The 22181-nt window shown below is 34.1% G+C and overlaps 1 protein-coding gene across 10 annotated transcripts in view; it reads left to right on the top strand.

Annotated features, from left to right (window-relative positions):
* The window catches only part of ERBB4 (erb-b2 receptor tyrosine kinase 4), a 1163086-nt gene that overhangs the window by 568960 nt on the left and 571945 nt on the right, over positions 1-22181 (top strand). The window lies entirely within an intron of this gene.

The following is a 22181-nucleotide window of genomic DNA, read 5'->3' as shown; positions in this document are numbered from 1 at the left end:
GCTGTTTTTTTGAAAAAAATTAATAAATAGACCACTAGCTAGACTAATAAAGAGAAAAAGAGAAAATTCAAATAAACACAGTAAAAAATGACAATGGGAATATTACCACTGACCCCACAGAAATACCTATTTTATGGTTTTTTAAAATGCAAATAAAAAATTTGAAACTTATCCAGAGAGAAGTCTAATTAAGCAATGCCCTTAAACTGTGCATAAAGAGCACCCTTCCCAGCCTTAAAGCCATGCTGGGTAATAGGGTAAGAACTGCTTTAGTATTCAATTCAGATGTTCATCTTCAACCACACTTAAAGAGCTTCTGCAACTCTCAACTTTATAAATACGGTAAAGCATAAATTATGTGGAGAAAGACCTAATCCATTCTTGTAAGAAAAAAAGTATGTATATGTAGTTCACTATACAATTAGCATAAATATTATTACATATGATAAACCATAGATTATGTACAGTGTTTCAGGCTTTTCTCATTGAAGAACTTGGAACGTTTTTTCAGCAAAGAGATATGTCTATTCAACTCTGAATGGATCCTGTTTTCCTAACATTGCTCAGACCCTTCTGTGCATCCAACTCGGCATATAATGTCTCTTTTTTTCCTTTATTGGAGTTACTGGTGTCATTTGCAGTTGTCTTAACTTTTGTCACTGCTTTCCTAAAGGGGGTATGCTTTTATACACTTTAAAAATGCTCATGTTTATTTTACTTTCTACCTTCAGTATGACTTAGATATAAAGCTTCTCTGCATCTCTGTTTTGATTCAAGAATTTTGTGTCCTGTGGTTTTTAATGCTTATTCTCTATTTGTTATGTAACTAATGTGGCAAAAAAGTAAAACTTAATCTTAAATTCTTTCATTTTTCAGAAAATGTACATTACTAATTTGAATTTGGGTTCAATTTGAATAGGTCCTTCAATGGGTTGTAATGATATTCCTTTTGCAAATTGAAGAGAGCAAGGGCAGGAGAAGAGAGGGTAGAAAATAAAAAGGATATAGTCACCAAGCATCATTGTCTACTTATGCACTGGTACATAAATGTAACCCGTCCCCAATAAAAATATGGCTGAAATAAAAAAGAAGAAAATGCATAATGTAAGAAGTGACTCATTTTACTTACTTTAATAGGTATTGTGATCTGGAAACATAGAATTCCCTTATGACTTTATGACTTTATCCAAGCCAATGGTCATTTTCAGTTTATGCTTTGCAATTTTCAGTACATATGAATAAAAAGAGAACAGAGCAATAAATAAAATATATCTGCAACAATTGGATTAAATAATAGTTGTTAAAGCAATAAGAAACTGATAGGGTGAAGTAGTCTGAGACAATCTCTGTTTTATGTATTTCATATTCTGCTTTGATTCATTAAAAATGCCTTTATCTTAATCATGTCCTATTTGGTCACAGCTGAAATCTGCATTAAAACATATGCTCTTAATATTTCTCATTGTAGAATATTTGGAAACTGGCCAAGCAATTCTTGAAATGATGCTTCATTTGCTTCACTATCCAGAACAAGAAAAATGATTTTCATGAACTATGCCCCTAAACCATTCATGGTTAAAACTTGAGGGTGTTTTTATTGAAGCTTGTGCTGTACATCTGAAAAACCAATGATGCCTAAAGAGTTTGGAATCACAAGTTTGTGAGATGAAAAAAGTGAAAGAATGTTCAGTTTGAAGGGAAAAGCCCAAGAAAATGGCTTTTTAAAGTAGTTTGAAAAGTTTATTACATTACTTTAGTATGTAAGTTAATATGAATATTCTACATAGAAGATATGAATCTTAAAAATGTAATTAATGTTACTAAATATATCTATGTAGTCTAAATGCAGTTTCAATAAAAATTGTTTGATACTTTGCTAGATTCTACCTTGTTTTATACAGTTAACATCCCCACAGAGAAAAGACATAATCGTATTCTAAATGATTAACTTAAGTACTGTTAACTTGGCATACTGTTCAAAAAGGATATAAAATAATATATACTATGTGTAATGATTACCTGCAGAATTTTAACTAATGAATAAATTAATAAGATTATATGTTATAATTCAATGAAAAAACAATATAACTGAATTCTAGATTATGCCAACTTAGGTTCCTCTTGACCCTTCACATTGATGCTTGATACCATTGCATTGTATGGTTATTATAATCTTCAAAATAACCTGCATATATATTCTATGTAATTCTTTATTAGTGAATCTAATTTTGGTCCTTTCACAGGGTGTTGTTTACTGTTGGATTTTTATTAAAGTCATCATTCTTGGGGCCATTTCTCGTAAGTTTTAAGATGTTGCTAATTCTTGAGTAACTCTTCATTTTATCCACCACACTTACCAATGATAATTAAAAGATTGGAAATGAAAATACCTAAGTTTTCTCTGATTGCATCATAATTTGCTGAAATATGTCACCTAAAAATTCTCAAAATTGTTTATTTTTACCATTTTCCATGAAATTTACATAACATTTTCTATCTTAAGTAAAGCCTCTTAAATACTAATTGCAGTTCCCTATTACATATCAAGGTTTTAGAGAGATTTTTGGTTTTATTCATTTAGATATTCCCCAAATATAGCCCAAACCTGGCACTTAGCAAGCATTCGTTAAATACTTACTGAATGAGGAAATGAGGGAATGGAGTATTCTATTTTGAACAAATTCAACAAAGGTAAGATTTTGAGCAATTGTTTCTGTGTAGAATTCACTCAGAAAAAAACATTCAGGCATTTGTCATTTAAGTACGCTAAGTGTAAGAGGTTCAGGATTATAAATGGGATCTTCAGCCCATTTAATGCAATTTAATAAATATTTAATAATTACCACATTATATATAAAGTATAACGTTAGGCACTGTAGAGGACATTGCCATTATAAAAAAGAGATACATATTCTCTCACCTGAAGCTCCTGACCTATTGTGTGAAGTAGATAAAATTATACACAACTTGGGTAGTAATGACACTAAAATTTACCTTATCTCCATGGGCATTCATTTGATCTGTCTTTTCTATAATAATGTAATAAAGTTCAGAGGAAATTGAGTAAAATGTGTTCTAAAGGCTATACTGCCTCTAGAGAACTACAGGGTATTGGTTTTCCAAGTAGCATTTTCAAAAAGATTAATATAATACTTAAAATATATAGACTTAAAAATAAACATGTAATGGTATATAAACACCAGTATAAAGTAGAGTGTTTTCTAACATTAGAAAAATCATTTAGCTTCCTGTTGCTAAGAGAGATAGTTAATCTTTTTCATTTTAGGGTTTAAACAAATTTAAGTCCGGGTGCAGTGGCTCACGCTTGTAATCCCAGCCCTTTGGGAGGCCAAGGCAGGCGGATCATGAGGTCAGGAGTTTGAGACCAGCCTGGCCAACACAGTGAAACCCCGTCTCTACTAAAAATACAAAAATTAGCTGGGTGTGGTGGCGGGTGCCTGCAATCCCAGCTCTTCAGGAGGCTGAGGCAGGAGAATCACTTGAACCTGGGAGGTAGAAGTTGCAGTGAGCCAAGATCGTGCCACTGCACTCTAACCTGGGCAACAGAGCTAGACTCCGTCTCAAAAAATAATAATAATAATAATATTGAAATTCTTTTTTCTTTTTTTAAGACAGGGTCTCACTCTGTTGCCCAAGCTGGAGTGCAATGGCGTGAAAACGGCTCACTGCAGTCTTAATCTCTTGGGCTCATGCAGTCCTTCCACCTCAGCTTCCTGGGTAGCTGGGACCACAGGCATGTGCCACAATGTCCGGCTAAATTTTGACATTTTTTTGTAGAGAGAGGGTCTCCCTGAGTTACCCACGCTGGTCTTGAATTCATGGCCTGAAGCAAGCCTCCTGCCCTGGCCTCCCAAAGTGCTGGGATTACAGGCATGATTCTCTGTGCCCAACCATATTGAAATATTTTTAAAAATTGACATACATTTCTCAAATGTGATAAAGATAAATATGCTTTGCCCTTTCCTCTTTTAGTACAAGTGTATTTTATGGCTTTCATATATAAATAAAGGTAAAGCATTATATAACTTTAAGTTTATAGAAATATATAGAAATCAATGGCCTTCTTAATTATAAAATATGTTCTGTGAGAAGGATTTTCTTTTCAAGTCAATGTTAGATCAATTATTCAGAATCTCAAATTCTGTTTTACTATTTTATTTTATTTTATTTTTCTAGTTTCCTCTGGAAATAGTATCAACTACTTTCATTTTCTGCTTTGAATTACCTTAGCACATAAAAAAATTGTGTATATAACAACTTGGTTAATTTTAGTTGGTTTACTTGTACTCCGGTCTTTGAAGTAAAATAGAAGAAAGTGGAGATGTTACTTAGGCAAGCATCTTTCAACACTAGAGCATTTATTCAAATGTGACTATATCAGGCAAATCTTTTATGAAGATGGCATATTTATATGTTTATGATAATTTAAAAAATGAATATAGATTATATTGATCTTTTACATTCATGTTTTATTAAAATTATTGTCAGTGATTTAAACTATTTCCATTTATCAAATGAATATTTACTTTTACACATTTCCTAAGTTCTGTAGAAGATATTTTTCAGTAACATACTGAGAATATTGGTCTAATATCAAAAAGCATAATATTTTCAGTATTACCCTTGAAGCACAAAGCTCTTTCACATGCTGTCCTTCTTATTTTTTCCTCTTTTCATGATACGACGCTGTCAACACATTATTTCATGGTATTGCAGAGGCAATTAGTTATACAAATTAGGTAATCATGTATCAACAAAGGCCTTGTGTTTGTGCCGTATAGGTAATAGTCTGTGTGGAGGAACTGTCCTATAGTTGAACAAATCAAATTAGGCATTTTTTAAAAGGTAACATGGAAATAATAACATTAAATTTTATATTCTAAGTAAAAAAGAACAGTGAGCACAGTGCCACCTATATAGTAGGTATTCATAAAAGTAATGTTCTAAGAGTGGTAATAATGATAGTAAAAAAATAGTATTTCTAGTGTTTTCAATTACAGTAGCAGAAATTTATTTGAGTAGTAGAAAAATGTCCTGTAGAATCTTAATCCCCATGACCTAATTTGTTTTATCTATCTTTTTGTACACTAACACTTTCTAACAGGGATTTGAGGTAACTGTGTCAGCTAAATAGACCTTAGCATGAATTATTTTTTAAGTTTTATTTCTGTGTGTCAGCTAGTAGAGATTATATCAGATTTTAGTACTGGAACCTGCTTAAGGAAATTAATGGAGGATTAAGAGAACAAGTTCTAGACAAGAGAGGTGAAAGTTTATTCCGTAGTGAAATTCAAGAGTGTTAAATGAAATGTCACCTATGTCATTATTTTTATTAACATCAGTTCCTTTTGAATATTCTTGTAGTTCATGAACTTAAAACCACAATACATTTTCTAGTTTAACGTAATTCCGAAAAAACATCTGTTGAAAGTTAGCAAATTGCTTCAGAAAATGGTGATTGGAGGTTAAATGTGATATTTATATGAAATGGCTTTGTAAACTGCAGTATGCATATAAAATACCAGTGCTGTGATGATGTTGATGAAGAGGATTGGAATGAGAAGTCAATATCCCCATTCATTCTCCAGAAGAGGAGGGGATATTGATGTCACTTGTGTTAATGAGCATACCATGAACCTAGTACCTCACCGCTGGGAGTGTAATCCAATGTTGTTAACCACTGCTGAAGTCTAGTATGATTGATAAATCCCTTCCCAAGAGAAAGGTGATGAAGTTGACTCAGGAGAGAGAAATACCATGTGTCTTTGTCCAGTTTCCTTTCAGGGAATACAATAACTAAAGAGTTCATCACAAGCATTTGTCTACTGTACCTGTAACAAGTTGCAAAGAGACTATTCATTTTTTCATTTGTTCCTCCCTGTGAGACATTGTTATTTTTTATGTTTAAAATAGTTTGGTTACTGGGTACAGGTTGGAGACTATAAAACATAACCTTTCTTTCAAACAAAAGATACTTTCTCAGAGATTAAAGAAGAATTATGCCTATAAAGGAAATGACTGACTTTGTTTGTTTATAAATTTGCTTATAAATAGAACAACTTAGCCTTAATATCCCCAAGTTGTATTAGGCAAGCTTTTAAACAGTGAATGAAAAAAAATCAAATCAACATAGAAAATTTTGCTACTGCAAAATTAGGTTACAATGGAGAGAGAAACAGAGAGAAAGAGAAAAGAGGAAAGAGAGGGAGAGAGGCCTATTTACCCTTATAAATAGATATTTATTTATCTATCCATCCACTGTCCATCCAGTAATATGTGCAATAATAAATTCAGGTTAGAAAAATATATATTAATACAAGAATATTAATTTAAATTTTCCTCATAATGTATACATATTTTATGGATTGTATTGATGGTATACTAGCAGGCACTGTTTTTATTACTTTTAGAAAACCACTAAGGCAACTCTACAAGCTATAAAATTAAACAGTTGCCTCAAATTAATAAGTCAATCAACCTTGACATTTTGGACTTGATTATTCTTTGCCTAGTGGTGGGTGTGGGAGGTGGGAAGAAAGGGCTGTCTGGTGCATGTATGATGTCTACCAGCAACCCAGATGTCTACCCACTAGATGCCAGTATCACCCTCCACCCCTCACCAAAGATGACAACCACAAATATCTCCAGACATTGCCAGATGTCTTCTGGAAAGCAAAACACCCCAGTTGAGAACCACTGTTTTGGACCTATGTGAACAATATTATAACCTGACACCCATCAAGATATATGAAATCACAGGTGCTAACATAATTTATTTGAAGATTAAAAACATATTAAGCACACAGAAAAACATATTAGGTACATGTACCTGCTATCCATATTTAACAGATATACAGATATTAATGTCATTTAAAAGAATTTGTAAAAAAGAAGGTGTTAGTTTAACATCAGATAACCGAAAGTTCATATAGTACTTGGGAAAATTCCACAGACTTGTTCCTTATACTGGTTTTTTTAAAGCGCCATCAACCAAGTCTCCCAAGCTAAAAACCTCAGTCATTTCTTGTTGCTTGTTCTTCCTCAATTCCCACATCCAGTAAGTCATGAAGTATTTTTGTATTCCACCTCAAAAAGATGGCTTGGATCTTAGAGCCATCTAATTTGTATTCACTGCCTTCCGCATCTCTTGCCTGGCAACAAGTTTCTAACTTTTCTCTCTCCACCAGCTTCTCACCAACCTACTCCATTTTTACCCTGCAACTAAGAACATAATTCTACAAAATAAATCAAAGCCTAAATTCTCTGTATACAGTGCCACTAATTCCCCATTGCCTGGTGTAAAATTATAGACTCCTACATTAACTTTTTCCAATCAAGTCCCTCTCCTCCCTGACTCATTTTCCATTCAGCAGTCTTAGACCTGTGAACAACACTAGGCTCTCTCAAGACACTTTGACATTAGACATATTATTCTCTCTGCCTAAATTGTGCAAATGTTTCTTACTAACATATTCAGTTCCTGCATATGAATAGAGAGAATTTGATAGCAAGGAACACTATGCATATGAAATTGTTTGGTTTCTGATTTCATATATCAATTGGAGAGATGTGAAAAGGCAAGGGACATTTTTATGTCTTTTCTTATTTTTTCCACTTGATGGCTTATTTTTATACTTTCATAAGCAAACATATAAGCAAACATTATACAAATATTGAAAACTTCACAAAATGAATACATAGCTTAAGTAGTTTGGAAAAGGCATACTCCTTTGTAACTGTCAATCTACATCAAGAAATAGAGCTTTGCTACCCACCCCAGAAACCCCACTATGTGCCCTATCCCAATCTCAAATGCTTTTCTCCCCAAAAGTAACCACCATTCTTACTTGTATAGAAATTGCTTTCTTGTATGTCTTTATAGTTTTATCACCCAAGTATGCATCCCTGGACACTATAACTTGCTTTTAAAGTATTTTTTCCAAATTTCCTTTAAGACATGTGACATAAGTTCCTCCTCCTCCTTTTTTCCCTCTTCTTATAATTTACCTATTCAAACACCTGGGACATTTTTCTGTAGAATTTTCTGAAGGCTAGGTTTTGTTAATTGCATATTCATGATCAAATTCACCATGTTTCTCTGTCTTTTGTACTTCCAACAAATGGCAGCTGGATCCAGAGACTTTATAATACTTACATTCAGTCTCTTTGATGAAACCATAGGTGGTGGTGTGTTCATTCAGTGGGAGGCACGTAATATCTTGTTGTTGTCAAGAATGTCAAATGTCTGAGATTTTAGAGTGTTTGCAAGCTAACAAGTTAGTCTGTCACTTGTGTTAGAAGAAGACACAAGACTCAATGGCACAGCAGTCAGCATGAGCTTCATGTTTACATGGGTTCCCATTGCCCCTGAGGCAAGTCCCATGGAAGTGATTGGAAAGTACAAACAGGTCGATACTGTATCAAAAGAGATTTGTGTCACAGTTGCAGAACTCTGAGCTTATGAAACTCCATTTTTATAAAAAGGGCTGCTAACAAATCTGCCCTCCACCCTGGAAGGAGAAACTGTCTTACTATTCCAATGCTGCTTACTATACAAACATTCTTGGAAAAAAAAATAAGTCTGAAGAAAAGCTGGTACACACCAATGCAGGAACAATGCAGAACTGTCTCCCATCATTTTTTTCTCTATTATTGTGATATCATTTGCAATTACTAGCCAATGATGCTGAATATCTAGAACCATTAATTCATAAAGACTTTCAGAGTGGCAATGCTCCAATTTTTAAAAATAAATATTATTTTTAGGGAAGTTTTAGGTTCACAGAAAAATTGTGAAGAAAATACAGCATTATTATATAGCTTATGCTCAGTTTCACCTATTATTATTAACACCTTACATTATTATGGTACACATTTATTACAATTAATGAATCAAAATTGGTTCATACTATTTTAAAATTATTTTCACTTATTCGTTGGAACACCTTACAAGACATAGTGCCTGATGCAGACTGATATCTAATCCCCAATATGATGGTATTTGGAGGTGGGGCCTTTGGGAGATGATTAAGTCATAAGAGTAGACTCCTCATGAATGGAATTAATGACTCTATAAAAAAGAACCTAGAGAGATCCCTTGCCCCTTCTGCTGTGTGAAAACATAGCAAGACACTGGCCTCAAGGAGTGGGTCCTCACAAGACACTCAATTTGCTGACACCTTGATATTGGACTTCCCAGCCTCCAAAATTGTGAGTAACAAATTTCTGGCATTTATGAATCACCCAGTCTGTGGTAAATTGCTATAGAAGACCGAACAGACTAAGGCACTACCTTTCATCTGTTATTTCGTTACCTGGTGTTACAACTCATAAAGGAAAAGGATGAATGCTTATTTTCTTTTACATACATTTTCAAAAAAGTGAATTGGTCCTCTATTATTGTCCAAAGATGAGAAATTTATGTCATTGAATATTATTATGAACTCGTAGGTTTATATGTATTTTATGGATTATAATCAGTTGTAATTATTTTTGAAATTTAAGTTACCTCATCATTGGCCAGGAAGGGTCTCTTCCAATTGGTTCTTGAGCCCTTTTGACATGAACTTAGTAGTTTTTGATAGCTTCCTCACTATCTGCTATGATAAGATGTTTCAGGCTCATCTTATCTATTTCTTGTCCCATACCTAGAATATGAAATTTCTCCAAGAATTCCTGGTTTCTCTTTGTGTAAAACTATAATTTAAGACCACAATCTAGGTGCTAAATCCCTGTGGAACACTTAACAACCTTTCAGAACTTAGGCAATTGTCTGTTCCTACAACTTCCTTCTCCAATATTCCTCAGGCAAATGTATCCACTTCACCCCTGTGTACACACAGGGTGCTGTCGATACCCCCATTATGGTCTTCATTACTTTCTAATATTCAGAATCTTAATCATGGTTCCATCGTTGCATCTTAAACGTGTTATTCCTTTGCTCCTTTCCATGTTTGTCTTTCACAGTGGTTGTAAACTACTAAGGGGCCAGGTCATGTTTTATACATCTCCATGTCCCCAGAGCAAGGAATAGCTTTGAATATACTACAAGTACAGATTGCTGAATGAATGACACCAAAATAGGCAAAAAGGTGATATTTTAAGAAGATATTTAAAATCAATATATTTTATACCTTGCAAGTAATCTATATGCAGCCTTAGAAGGTACTATAATGATTGCTTCTCTGTAAAATTCCTATAGAGGGGAAACATAGAGAAAAATGTTTCATAATTAAGTTGTTTACTTGAAAGTCCTGAAGACAAACACACAAACATAGGCACAAAGTGCCTCTCTAAGTAACAATTATGTCAAAAGAAAAATGCATTTTTTTTTCCAAAATGGAAGGTGCCAATGTATGACCAGAAAATGAGGTAGCTTTATAATAAGATTAGATGTTCAATGCATAAAATTTTAAAACAAATGGTTTACTCTTAAAGAAACAAAGATACAGGCATTCACTTGCAAGTTATTGTAAATCTTTCTTGGCAAGCCATCATTTTCTTAGTGGCAATCTTGTCATTAGACGAAGATTGGAGATGATAAAGGAAGTAACCACCGTAAGATTAAGAACCATGTCTATTTTGCTCACCACTGTGTCTCCAGCAACTTGAACAATGTTTCTCAAATAGAGGGGGACAATAAACATTTGTAGAATAGATAATTGGCTGGAAGGATGAATAGATGTATGGGTGGGTGGATGGATGGATGGATGAATGAGGGTGAAAGCATAGAGACTTAAAGACTTTTTTGAGGAAGAAAAGTCAAGTGCAAATTTAAAAATACATTTACGTTAGGATTGTTTGGTTATATTTGCATTATTAATTTATGAACAGAATCTCATTTGATTCTATGTATGTTTGAAAAGGTCAGATAGCATCTAAGAGAAGGCACCTAAGAGAAGGCACCTAAGAGAATGCTGATTTTGAGACTTTTAGGATACTTAAAGTACCTTTTAAAGCAGATTTTGCAGTTATAAATATCTGAAGCATGCTGCAGTTACTTTTGAGAAATTACTCTTTCTTAGCTAATATTTTTCTCATAAATAAACCTTAGAAAGAGAATGTTATTCTTAAATCAAAATTTTAGACCATTTTGCCGTGGATAGTACTTTAACCAAGGAAGTAATTGGTACCACTTTTTGAAAAAATACTTCAAAGGGATTGGGATTTTGATCTTGGGAATAAGAGCGATCTTGTTGTTGTTTTAATATTTCCTCCATCACTTTTTGTCTATATGACTTTGGGCAAGTTATTTCACTGCAGTTACTTCATTTATAAAACAGAGGTAATAGTCAGAGTGATTTCACCAGTAGGTGACAGAAGACATAAGAATGCCTCACACACAGAAAACACTAATTAATAGAAGTTAATGTAATTATTTGAAAATTTGTACTATTTGAAATAGTAAATAGCTACTTAGAAAGTTGTGACTTGCATAAGGATACTTAAATAAGAAAAACATTTAAATTTCTTGTCTACAAGTCCATGGCCTCAATTTTTGTTATATTTGTAGTCCTGATTGTATCCACAGATGTCCATAGAATGCCTATTGCGTATGTTTGAATTTAATATTAAGAGCATCATAAGTAACATCAGACCTTGTTGTCACTAGAGGAGATGACTAAAGCAAATATTTGTTTTTTTATAAATTAATTAAGGCTGTGCTTTGTGTTTTTTATGGCCAAATATTTAGACAGATATTGAAGTGTGTCTTGGCAGGCTTGTCAAATCCAGGCCTGATACTTTGGCTCTCTTATTTCTGAGATTGCTCATGCTTTTCATTTAAAAATAACAACAGACTAGTCACAGAATCAGTCACCTCTAACTTTTGCATCCTCAAAGGGTATTTCCCATATGCTTTTCAACAGAGGCAGCTGTTGTCAGCCATAATTTCATAGAGGCCCATTTTCTTTCGTTAAATTTTGAATGGGAAAACATCACATTTATAAAAGACCTCAGACATGAAACTGTCACTCTTAATTGTACATTGAAATGCTAGCAAGCAGTTTTCTCATCTAAACTTTGGTGATGTGTAGTTATTCCTTTAGAAATAGAAAAATACAGTTTTATATATGCTGTGCAACACAGGGAACATATTGAAAAGGAGTTCTGGATTCAGAAAAACAATAGAAACTAATACTGAGTGATAGCTATGAGCCAGACCTTCTGTTAAGCAAGTCATAGAGATACACTTCTCAAAATAATCCTAGGATTTGGAGACCTTAACATCCCCATTTTACAGATAAAGATCCTGAGGCACAGAAAGGTTAAATAATGTACCCAACATAATACTGCTAAAAGCTAGGATGTGAACTTAGGCAGTGTTTTAGTTTGCTAGGAATGCCATAACAAAGTACCACAGACTGGGTGGCTTAAACAACAGATATTTATTTTCTCACAATTCTGGAGCTGGAAGTATGAGATCAAGGGCTCTGTAGCGTTGGTTTCTTCTGAGATCTCTCTCCTTGGCTTGTAGATGACCAACTTCTCTCTGTGTTTTCTCATGGTCTTTTTTCTTGTCATGTCTGTGCCCTCATCTTTTCTTCTTTGAAAAACACTGGTTATATTGGATTAGGGCCCGACTTAATAACCTCAATTTAGCCTAATTACCTCTTTAAAAACCCTATCTCCAAATACAGTCCCATTCTGAGGTAGTATGGGTTAGGACTTCAGCGTATACATTATGGGGGTTTGGCTGGGCACAGTGGCTCACATCTGTCATCCTAGCACTTTGGGAGGCAAAGGCAGGAGTATTGCTTGAGGCGAGGAGTTCAAAACCAGCCACAGCAACATAATGAGACCCCCATCTCTACTGGAAAAAAAATTAGGTTGGTGTGGTGTTGTGTAGCTGTAGTCCTAGACACAGGAATCTGAGGTGGGAGGATCTCTTGAACCCAGAGTTCAAGACTGCAGTGAGCTGTGATCACACCACTGCGCTCCAGCCTGGGCAACAGAGCAAGAATCTGTCTCATAAACAAACAAATATATACATGAATAAATTTATTTTAGGGAGTGGTCATATTTAGCCAACAATAGATAATCTGACTGAAGCTATATCTTTATGAGCTATGTAGTACCAATTGTTTAATTAATTTTAATATTAAATGTTTTTGCTTATATATTGTTTACCATTCCTAAACTTATACAAAATATTTACAAATATTTTGGCATAATTGCACTAATTATAATATGATGAAATTGATTATCTTTTGTTGATTCAACTTTTGAGCATTTAGCAGGAATTTTTCCTGTTGTGCAGAAGAGGAACGTAATATTGAATAATTTGCGCAAGGTCAATAAGTGATGGAGACAGGAGTCAAACTAAGATTGTGAGACTACAGAACCCAAATTTAATCACTAGGCTGCATCGTCCTAACCAGTTTGGCTCTCTGTGGAGAATACTCATCATCATATGGACAATGTTAATAAACATTACGACGCTTTGATTCAGGTATAGCTTCAGTTGTACGAAAGTGCCGAAAACTAATAATTTCTTTTTACTTCAGCTCTATCTATATCTAAACAAAGTTTAATTCAAAGGTTTCCAAACATTCTTACTATTTTTGCATTTATGCGTTGTATCTAATTTCAGTTAAAAGTCAATTCCCCAAGTCATTGGAGCTTAATGTGTTTATCTGATAGGAAAAAAATTGAACTCAGTATTATATTTTAAATAGTTATTAAAGATTATTAAAATGTCTATTTGAAATACAAGCTTCAAAATATAAGCCTACCTGTATAAATATGTAGAAAACAAATACACACACACACACACACACACACACACACACACTTTAGAGATGATAGAATCTTCAACTTATGAATTTTTTGAAATATGTATACTTACAATTGAAAGTTTGTGTTATTATGTAAATGAATCTACCAAAGCTTCCAACTTAGTTTGTGTAATCTGTTAAAAGAAAAACTTTAGACAAATTAAATTTAGCAGAGTTTATTTAAAAAAAGAATGTTCATGAATTGGGCAGCACTCAGATCAGGAGTAGTTCAGGGATTCCTACCCAGCAATGTGAACAGGCAGAATTTATAGATGGACAAGTAAGTATTATGCAGAAACAGTTTAAATTGTTACAGCGTGGCATTTGTCTTATTTGGACATAGTGTGATCAGTTGGTAGCCTGTGATTGACTGAGGCCTGGCTGCTATGATTGGCTGAGATTCAGCTACTTGTTATGAGAATATACTCTTAAGTTAGTTTGCAGTTTGTTTATATACTAATTAGGTCACAGTTTGCTGTATAGAAACTCAAGGTACAGAGACAACTTTGGGCCAATTTAATTTAATTTTACAAACCTAACTCTAGTGTAATAAGTCTATGATACAGGAATACAGTCTTGATAAGGTCAGGAGATGAAGAATCAATTGGGAATGTAGAGATCTGAAGGGGGACTATTAACCCTCCAGCCAGCTCAGGAAAATATAAAGGACAAAAAAAATATGGTTAATTCTAGGGAGGTGAGCTAAGGAGTCCTCTTCTCAATGGAACTAAAGGTGTTCACTGCTAAGAAGTCATGGGTTGAGAGCTGGCTAAGCGGCCAGTGATGAGTGAAATGGCCTGCAGATTCTTAGAAAGTAGAACTCATAGCAACACTAGCACCCAAGAGACTAGCTGGAAATGGCTGAAAGTTAGCAGTTTGTTGGGATGATCTTACCAGGTTTCCTACCTCTTGAGTATTATTTCACGCAGTATGTAAGTAGTATGAATTCCACTCTACTCCAGTCAGTATATGACATTTCACATTACTTACTTTTTTTTCAAATCTAATTAAATGAGACTTTGAGTCCCTCCTTGCCAGGGTGGCACAATCCTTAGAGTTTTAAAAACAATGGGAAAAATGAACGCAGAATTCCAAAGCAAACATACTATCTCTACAAGCAGCAGGGATGTGTAATGTTTGCTCTGTGGTTATTAATGTACTTTTATTCTGGTAAACTTTTTCATGCTATGTCATAGTTAAGAATGTTTTCTGCTTTAGATATTCTCAGACATGCTGTGAAGGGCAGGGACAGAAATTAATTGCCTAGGGAAATTTAATGGAAAGCTTTACTGATGGAGAGGCTACAATTTGCTACTACATTTGTCACCGTCAGAGAACACATAAATTCTGCAGTCATTACCAGCAGAAGGGACTTTCTATTACCCCCCCTCTTACCACCATAGTTCTCTGTTCCCTACTCTTCTCTGTGATACTACAGGTTTATTTGACTTAGTCTATTGACCTTAAGTAATCAGCATTATATTTGTTGATTCTTACCTGATGAAATGTATTAGCATTTTTGTGGATAATATCTAATTGTGTATGAGTTCTTAAGACACTGGAGTAGAAGTTAAGAATTTGGATCTTTTTGACTGATTACAGAAGGTTTTAACAAAAATGGATAGGTATATTTTCAAAGAGATGCTAATTTTAAAGAAAAATAAGTAATAAACATGGATTTGATGAATAATTTTAGTAGGAAAAAATCTAGGAATAAGAGTTTTACATACTTAGCTAGGAACATGTAATTGCTTTTAATGTGCATAAAATCATTCTAAACACTTATTAAATATTTAGGAATTGTGTGTTACTGTAATCACTTTAATCTTAAGGTAAATGAAGAAACATTTAAGGAACTAGTCTTCATTTCTATTAAGGATCAAATTTTTTAAAAAGTCAACTAAGAAGAAAAGAATTAGGGATTTATATCAAATACAGAAAAATTAATAGCTATTAAAAGAGTTGTGGAATGAAGCATAAATGTAAAAATAGTGAAGACTGATTTTTCTGAAATGATCTAGAGGTAAAAGGATAACCCAGTGAGCCAATACCGTCCCATCTAATCTTTGATTGAGGGACATCCATTGAAAATTCCAGGTTTATAACTGCAGATTTCACATTGTCTCTAGAATATTATGCAGGAGAAATGCTTATAAAATTTGTTGTCATTTTTAAAAAATCATGATTTTTTTCCTGGACTTATTGCTAATATGGTATGGGAAATTATTTTTTTGTTTTCCATTATCTTTTGATTTCTATCATCAAATGTCATAAGCAAAACAAATTGTCCCTTGGGCTAGAAGAGTTTTGAAGCATTCAAGGCTTTAATAATATCCGATTGTATTTACTACTTGAACAAAGCAACTGTAGAAACCTACATTGACAATGGAAATCAATCAGTTTTACTGAGCGGAAGCTTACACCATGAGGAGGAAGATATATCTTTAGGAGCATATTCACTCTTTGGTTGACAAAATGGGATGACTTCCTAGAACTAAACTGTTACTGAGCCAGAACCAGAGTCAGGATTTTGTCTTTGCTAGGGCATTCTTCTTCTTCTTTTTTTTTTTTTTTTTTTTTTGGAGAAAAACCTTTATTTAATATCAAAGACATCGCCAGTAACTCAGAAATTAGATTTTATTTTGTTTTATTTACTTTTTTAAATTATACTTTAAGTTCTGGGGTACATATGCAGAACGTGCAGTTTTGTTACATAGGTATACATGTGCCATGGTGGTTTGCTGTACCCATCAACCCGTCACCTACATTAGGTATTTCTCCTAATGCTATCCCTCCCCTAGGGCATTGTTATAATTTCTGTTTACTACTGTGGTCCTTGGACATAATTCATAATTGTTTTGTTCAAACAATGTTTTGTATTAGTGGCAAGTTCATAAAATTATTTTCCTTGGAAAACGATATCTAAAAAGACCTTAAGCATTGCTTTCCACTTTTCGATTCCATTCCATTCCACAGCCATTATTAAATGTTCAGCGCCAGAGTCTATATTTAGGGCCATAATATACACACATAAAGTATAAGGAACCATTTCTGAAATTTAGGAATAAATTGCAAATTGCATAAGCAAGATATAAATGTACCAAAGGTTACATAACAGAGAGATTAAAAGCAACAGTTCTTATGTAATGATATTATAATTTTTTTTTTTCTGCTCAGATTGTCTGCAGGCAGTTCATCTGCCTGGCTATTATCAGAGATAATATTTGTAATACTTAGCATCTGTTAAATACTTACTATTTGCCAGACAGGTTTCTTATATCTTCTAACCCCTATTACGGTTTTATAATAGAAATATTGGTATCTCTTTCTTAAAGATGAAGAAACTGAGGCTAAATGAGGTTAAGCAACCTGATGAAAGCCACAAAGCTAGTAAGCACAAAGGCTAGGTTTGGAGTCCAACTTTGCCTGGCAGACAAGCCCACATTTCCTACCGTTATACTTTCCCATAGATAAGTCCATATGTTTAAAAGTTGTTTTTATTCTCTCAAAATTTTCTAAAACAGTGGAAAATGTTGTGCTACTGAGATTCTTTCTGATGGCTGAAAGGAGAGGAACAATGGATAACTGACATGGTTGTGTGGCCTTATCAGACATTATAACATATAATTTACGCTTTTAGATATCTCTTCACTTTTTATCCAGATCTGCCAATATCATCTCAAACCACGTTATTTACTCTTTTTCATCATTAAGCACTCCTACCATTATTAACTTGTTTCCTGTAATTGTTTTTATTTGTAGTCAGTACACATGGCTCATGATCTGCACTGGAGTTTCCTTTTGAGATGTTTCAAGATATTTGTTCACAGAAAGACTATAGGAATACCTGAGAGAATGTGACTATGAATACCAGAATACAGAGACCAAAATAAGGCATGATGTGTTTCTTTTAGATATAAGAATTTTATATTTATCTCCTGTAACTCTTTTTAAAATGCTTCAGTTCCATGTGTCCCTCTACATATAAAAGATTAGAGCAACACATCTTGGGTTGAGAGATTTGCTATGATTTTTTTTCTATTATTTACATTATTTTTCTGGGTCAGAGAAAGGGACGTAACAATTAAGATAAATAGGATCTTCACTATCATTATCATAAAATAATTTACTATGGACCAACTTATGGGTGGCCTTGTTCAAAATGGCTTAGACATGCATTCTCAGCATTAACATGGAATGATGTCCAGAGTTCACATAAGAAAAGGATATTTGTTAGGCTAATGCTTAGTTTTTGCATACTATTTTGCAAGAACAGAGGGTAATAAACAGAATGAATAATGACAGAGACTTATTTTGGACACTAGAACCTCAGTTATAACAGCAAATCCCTCCAGTTCTAGAATCTTTACAAGGGAGTAGCTATTGCTTTTAATCTGACCTTCCATGAAGACAAGACACATGTGTCTGAGAATAATGTAATACACACCCTGAAATGAGAAGTATGTAAATATTACAACACAATTAATTCAAATATAAATATATTTAGTAATATGCAAATACAAAGATTTTCTTAGTTATATTTTACTTTTTCTAGTAAATAAGAGCACTTGGAGCATCCTCTTCTGCATTAGTTGGTCCTTCTTTATGTGTTCAGCATTTTTCTTGGTTCATACCTATCACACATTCTAGAGCACTTATTATTTGCAGATTATTTGCAGCTTGTGGTAATATGTGATCCAAATGCCATGCCAAGTGACACTGAAAAATTACTATTAATGTTACTCTTTTACAAATAAACTTCTTCTTTTACCTGAATATGCTTCATCTGTGTTTTCTCTGTTGACATTATAAATGTGTTTCTCCATCTTGAGATAAACCAATGACATTTTACACTTTTTGATAAGAAGAGTCACTTCCTGAGTGGGATGGAAGCTAATGATAAGTTTGTTTTGGAATGATGGATCTTATCATATGTTGTAGGCAAAAGAGTCATAATACACCCTCCATCAACACATTTATCATTGTGATCTAATCACTAAATAATTATTGTATTCAAGTTTAAAGAAAACTTTTTAATAATGAATGAATTTTACTTTTTAGACCATATGATGTCAGAATGTATGTATAATCTCTCTTTAAGAGCTCAAAGAGGTAGATAAGGGCATTCAAAGAGGTAACAGCTCAACCATTAGAACAGTGTTTGAAGGAGGAATTACAGAGCCCTAGAGCTAGACTTTTCCACGCGGTGCAATTTTAAACAAATTGCTGTGTACGAACAATGCATATCACTGCTGAGTTTCACCCCTCTTTTCTATTGTCCTAGGCATTTATCCCTTCACCCCAAGACACTCACTGTCTTAGGAATACTCATAGTGGCTTAGAGTTCCCAATTTGATGCCAGATATGAGTAATTCCATATATCCCTTTCCTATTCCTCTCCACTTTTGCTCCATTAGGATTCTACTCTTCTATTGATTATTTGTAGCATGCTTATTCCTAAGAATTGTGTGACTGGGGGGAAAGAGTCTGAATAGAGGCTCACATATTTTATTTTTTATTATAAACCAACTAGAGATTACTAAATAAAATGTTATATTTTCCCATTTTGACAGATATATCTTTATAACAACCTGGATGGCCAGGTACAATGTTAGAACTTTTGGAGTCCTCAGGAATATGTTGGCATGGAGAGAAGTGGCTCCAGTCTATAGCCTCTCTTCCACCCACTTCTATCCTGTATTGTGAGAGGTCTTACATGCAAGTTTTTGAACACTCTAGCCTACATGTCCAGGATCTGTACAGTTTCCCATCAGACATTGACACCTGGACCACCTATTCCTTCCTAAATGTATGCACATTGGTGGCACAATCTGCTCTCTGGGGATGGAACTGGGGAAGATGACATTACAGTTTCTGGGTAAAGACTTGGGGTTATTTGCAAAGGGAATTCTGGGATCACAGGGTCTGGAAGGGGAGAGTGCAGAATCTAAATGGGCCTTTTTCTTCACTCCACAGGCATTGTACAGTGGTGAAGGGTGTGGCCAGAGAAGGGCCGGAGTGATACTTGTTGGTTTCTTACTGCCACTCTCCTGGTCACATGAGACACACAAGTTAACAAACCAAAGTGCTTGAACTTATAGGGCTATATTCTGGGAAAAAGAGACAGGTTACGAATACTAAATCTGATAAATGTATGAATGATATAGTGTAGTAGAAGGTAAGAAGTAATGGGAAAATATGAGAATTGAAGCAGGTAAAAGTGTAGGGGCTACAGTGTTCAACAGGTTTATCAGGGTTGGCCTCAACTGAGAAGGTGATATTTGAGCAAAAACTTGAAGGTAGTGAGGGAGTTTGCCAAGAAGATAACAAGATGAAAGGAAACTCAGGTTTTTAAGGGTATAATGCACAATTTAAGGTAGAACTATACTTTTCATGTGAAAGAGAACTGATGACTAGATCATACACTGCAGTTCCAACAGAATTATAATAAGAGCCATAAAATGTAATTGAAAATGTTTTGCCACAATAAGAAGATAAAAAGAAACAACTGATATTAACTTTAATAATACATTTTATTTAACTTAATTTATCTCAAATGTTATCATTTCATCATATAATCTTCAAAATCCAGAGTGTATTTTGTACTTACAGCACATCTAAATTTATGCCAGCTACACTTCAGTTGCTCAGGTCACATATGACTAGTGGTTATTGCACTGAATGGCATAAAGATTTTGATACATCAGTAAAAGTATTTTGTCTGTTACTCTGAGTGACTTAGGAGATGTTTCAGAGTTTTAAGCACTGAAGTGTTGTAATTTGATTTATGTCTTTAAAATATCTTGGCTAGCCTGAATTGAGAATACACCATAGGGATCAGGAATAGACTCAAGGAGACCTATTGCAATAACCTAGATGAGGAATGATGATGGCTCAGGTGGGAGCCATGGATGACGTAAGAGGTAGTTGAGTTTCTGATCATTCTGAACGTAGAACAAATAGTATGGATCACACTTGGGGTGTCAGAGGAGAGTCAAAGATGACTGAAATTTTGGCCTGAAAGTCAGAAAAGATGGAATAACCTGAACTGAGATGAGGAAGGCTGCCAGAGGGGTGGAGGAAGAAAAGAGTTCAGCCATTGATAGGTGTATCTGAAAAGCATACTAGACATCCAAGTAAGGATGTTGAGTAAACAGTTGGGTATAAATCTGGAGTTTGGGGAAAGTATAGAGATAAATGTTTGGAGATCACCAACTTTGAAACTGAATAAGATCACCAAGGGAGTGAGAATAGACAGGGTGGGGGGAAGTACCAAAAACAGCCTTGGAGCATCTGAAATGAAAAGGGTTAGTTAGAATAACATGAAATTGGTATTAAAATAATACCAAATACTTGAGTATTTTTTTTATCATTTTTAGTTTTTTTTAAATTCTGACAACTATTTATCATCATTTTATTGAAAAAATATTTAGATGAAACTCAGACTTTCTTCATGACACTGTTTTGCTTTAAAATGTCTCACAAACCCTCAAATAATTAACTTATTATAGACAACTAAATTTAAACAGTGGGCAGTAAAAATTAAAAATGTGGTTGGAATGAATTTATAGACAACAATTAGGTTTTTTTTTTTTTTTTTTTTTTTTTTTGTGAGACAGAGTCTCACTCTGTCGCCAGGCTAGAGTACAGTGGTGCAATCTTGGCTCACTGCAGCCTCCGCCTCCTGGGTTCAAGTGATTCTCCTGCCTCAGCCTCCCAAGTAGCTGGGACTACAGGCACCTGCCACCACACCCAGCTAATTTTTTGTATTTTTAGTAGAGATGGGGTTTCACCATGTTGGCCAGAATGGTCTCGATCTCTTGACCTCATGATCCACTCGCCTCAGCCTCCAGAAGTGCTGGGATTACAGGCATGAGCCACCATGCCCGGCCACAACAATTAGTTTTTAATACATGTTTTTTATGTTTGTGTTCCCTAGAGATGTACAGGGCAATTGTTATTTGATAAATATAGCACCAAACACCAATAGAGCCATTTTAAACCTATCCTACAATTTACAAACTAACATGGCTTTGTTTTACTTAGGCTCACCAATATGCTTTTTTATTTAAAGTTTGACTGATGGTTGTGTGTCCTTAACTTATTGTAGTCTGTTGATAAGCAAGACCTTTATTCCTTTAACTATATTCAAATCTCAGGTATGAAGAAGGTCCCATAAACAAAATCCATCATTTTAGTATAAGCACATTCATAACTGTTTAAAAGAAACACAACTTATACTTCAAATGAGATTCTAACCCTTTGTGATCTTTTATTATGAAGCCAATTCTTTAGAATATGATATGGAAAATAATGTATTAAACTAAAAACTGAAAATTAGAGTTTAATAACTCATTTTAATCTAAATTGCTACATATACAGAGT

This window comes from Homo sapiens, chromosome 2 (genome assembly GCF_000001405.40).
Source record: "Homo sapiens chromosome 2, GRCh38.p14 Primary Assembly".
NCBI classification, from domain to species: Eukaryota; Metazoa; Chordata; class Mammalia; order Primates; family Hominidae; genus Homo; species Homo sapiens.
This window is presented reverse-complemented; position numbering and strand designations above follow the sequence as displayed.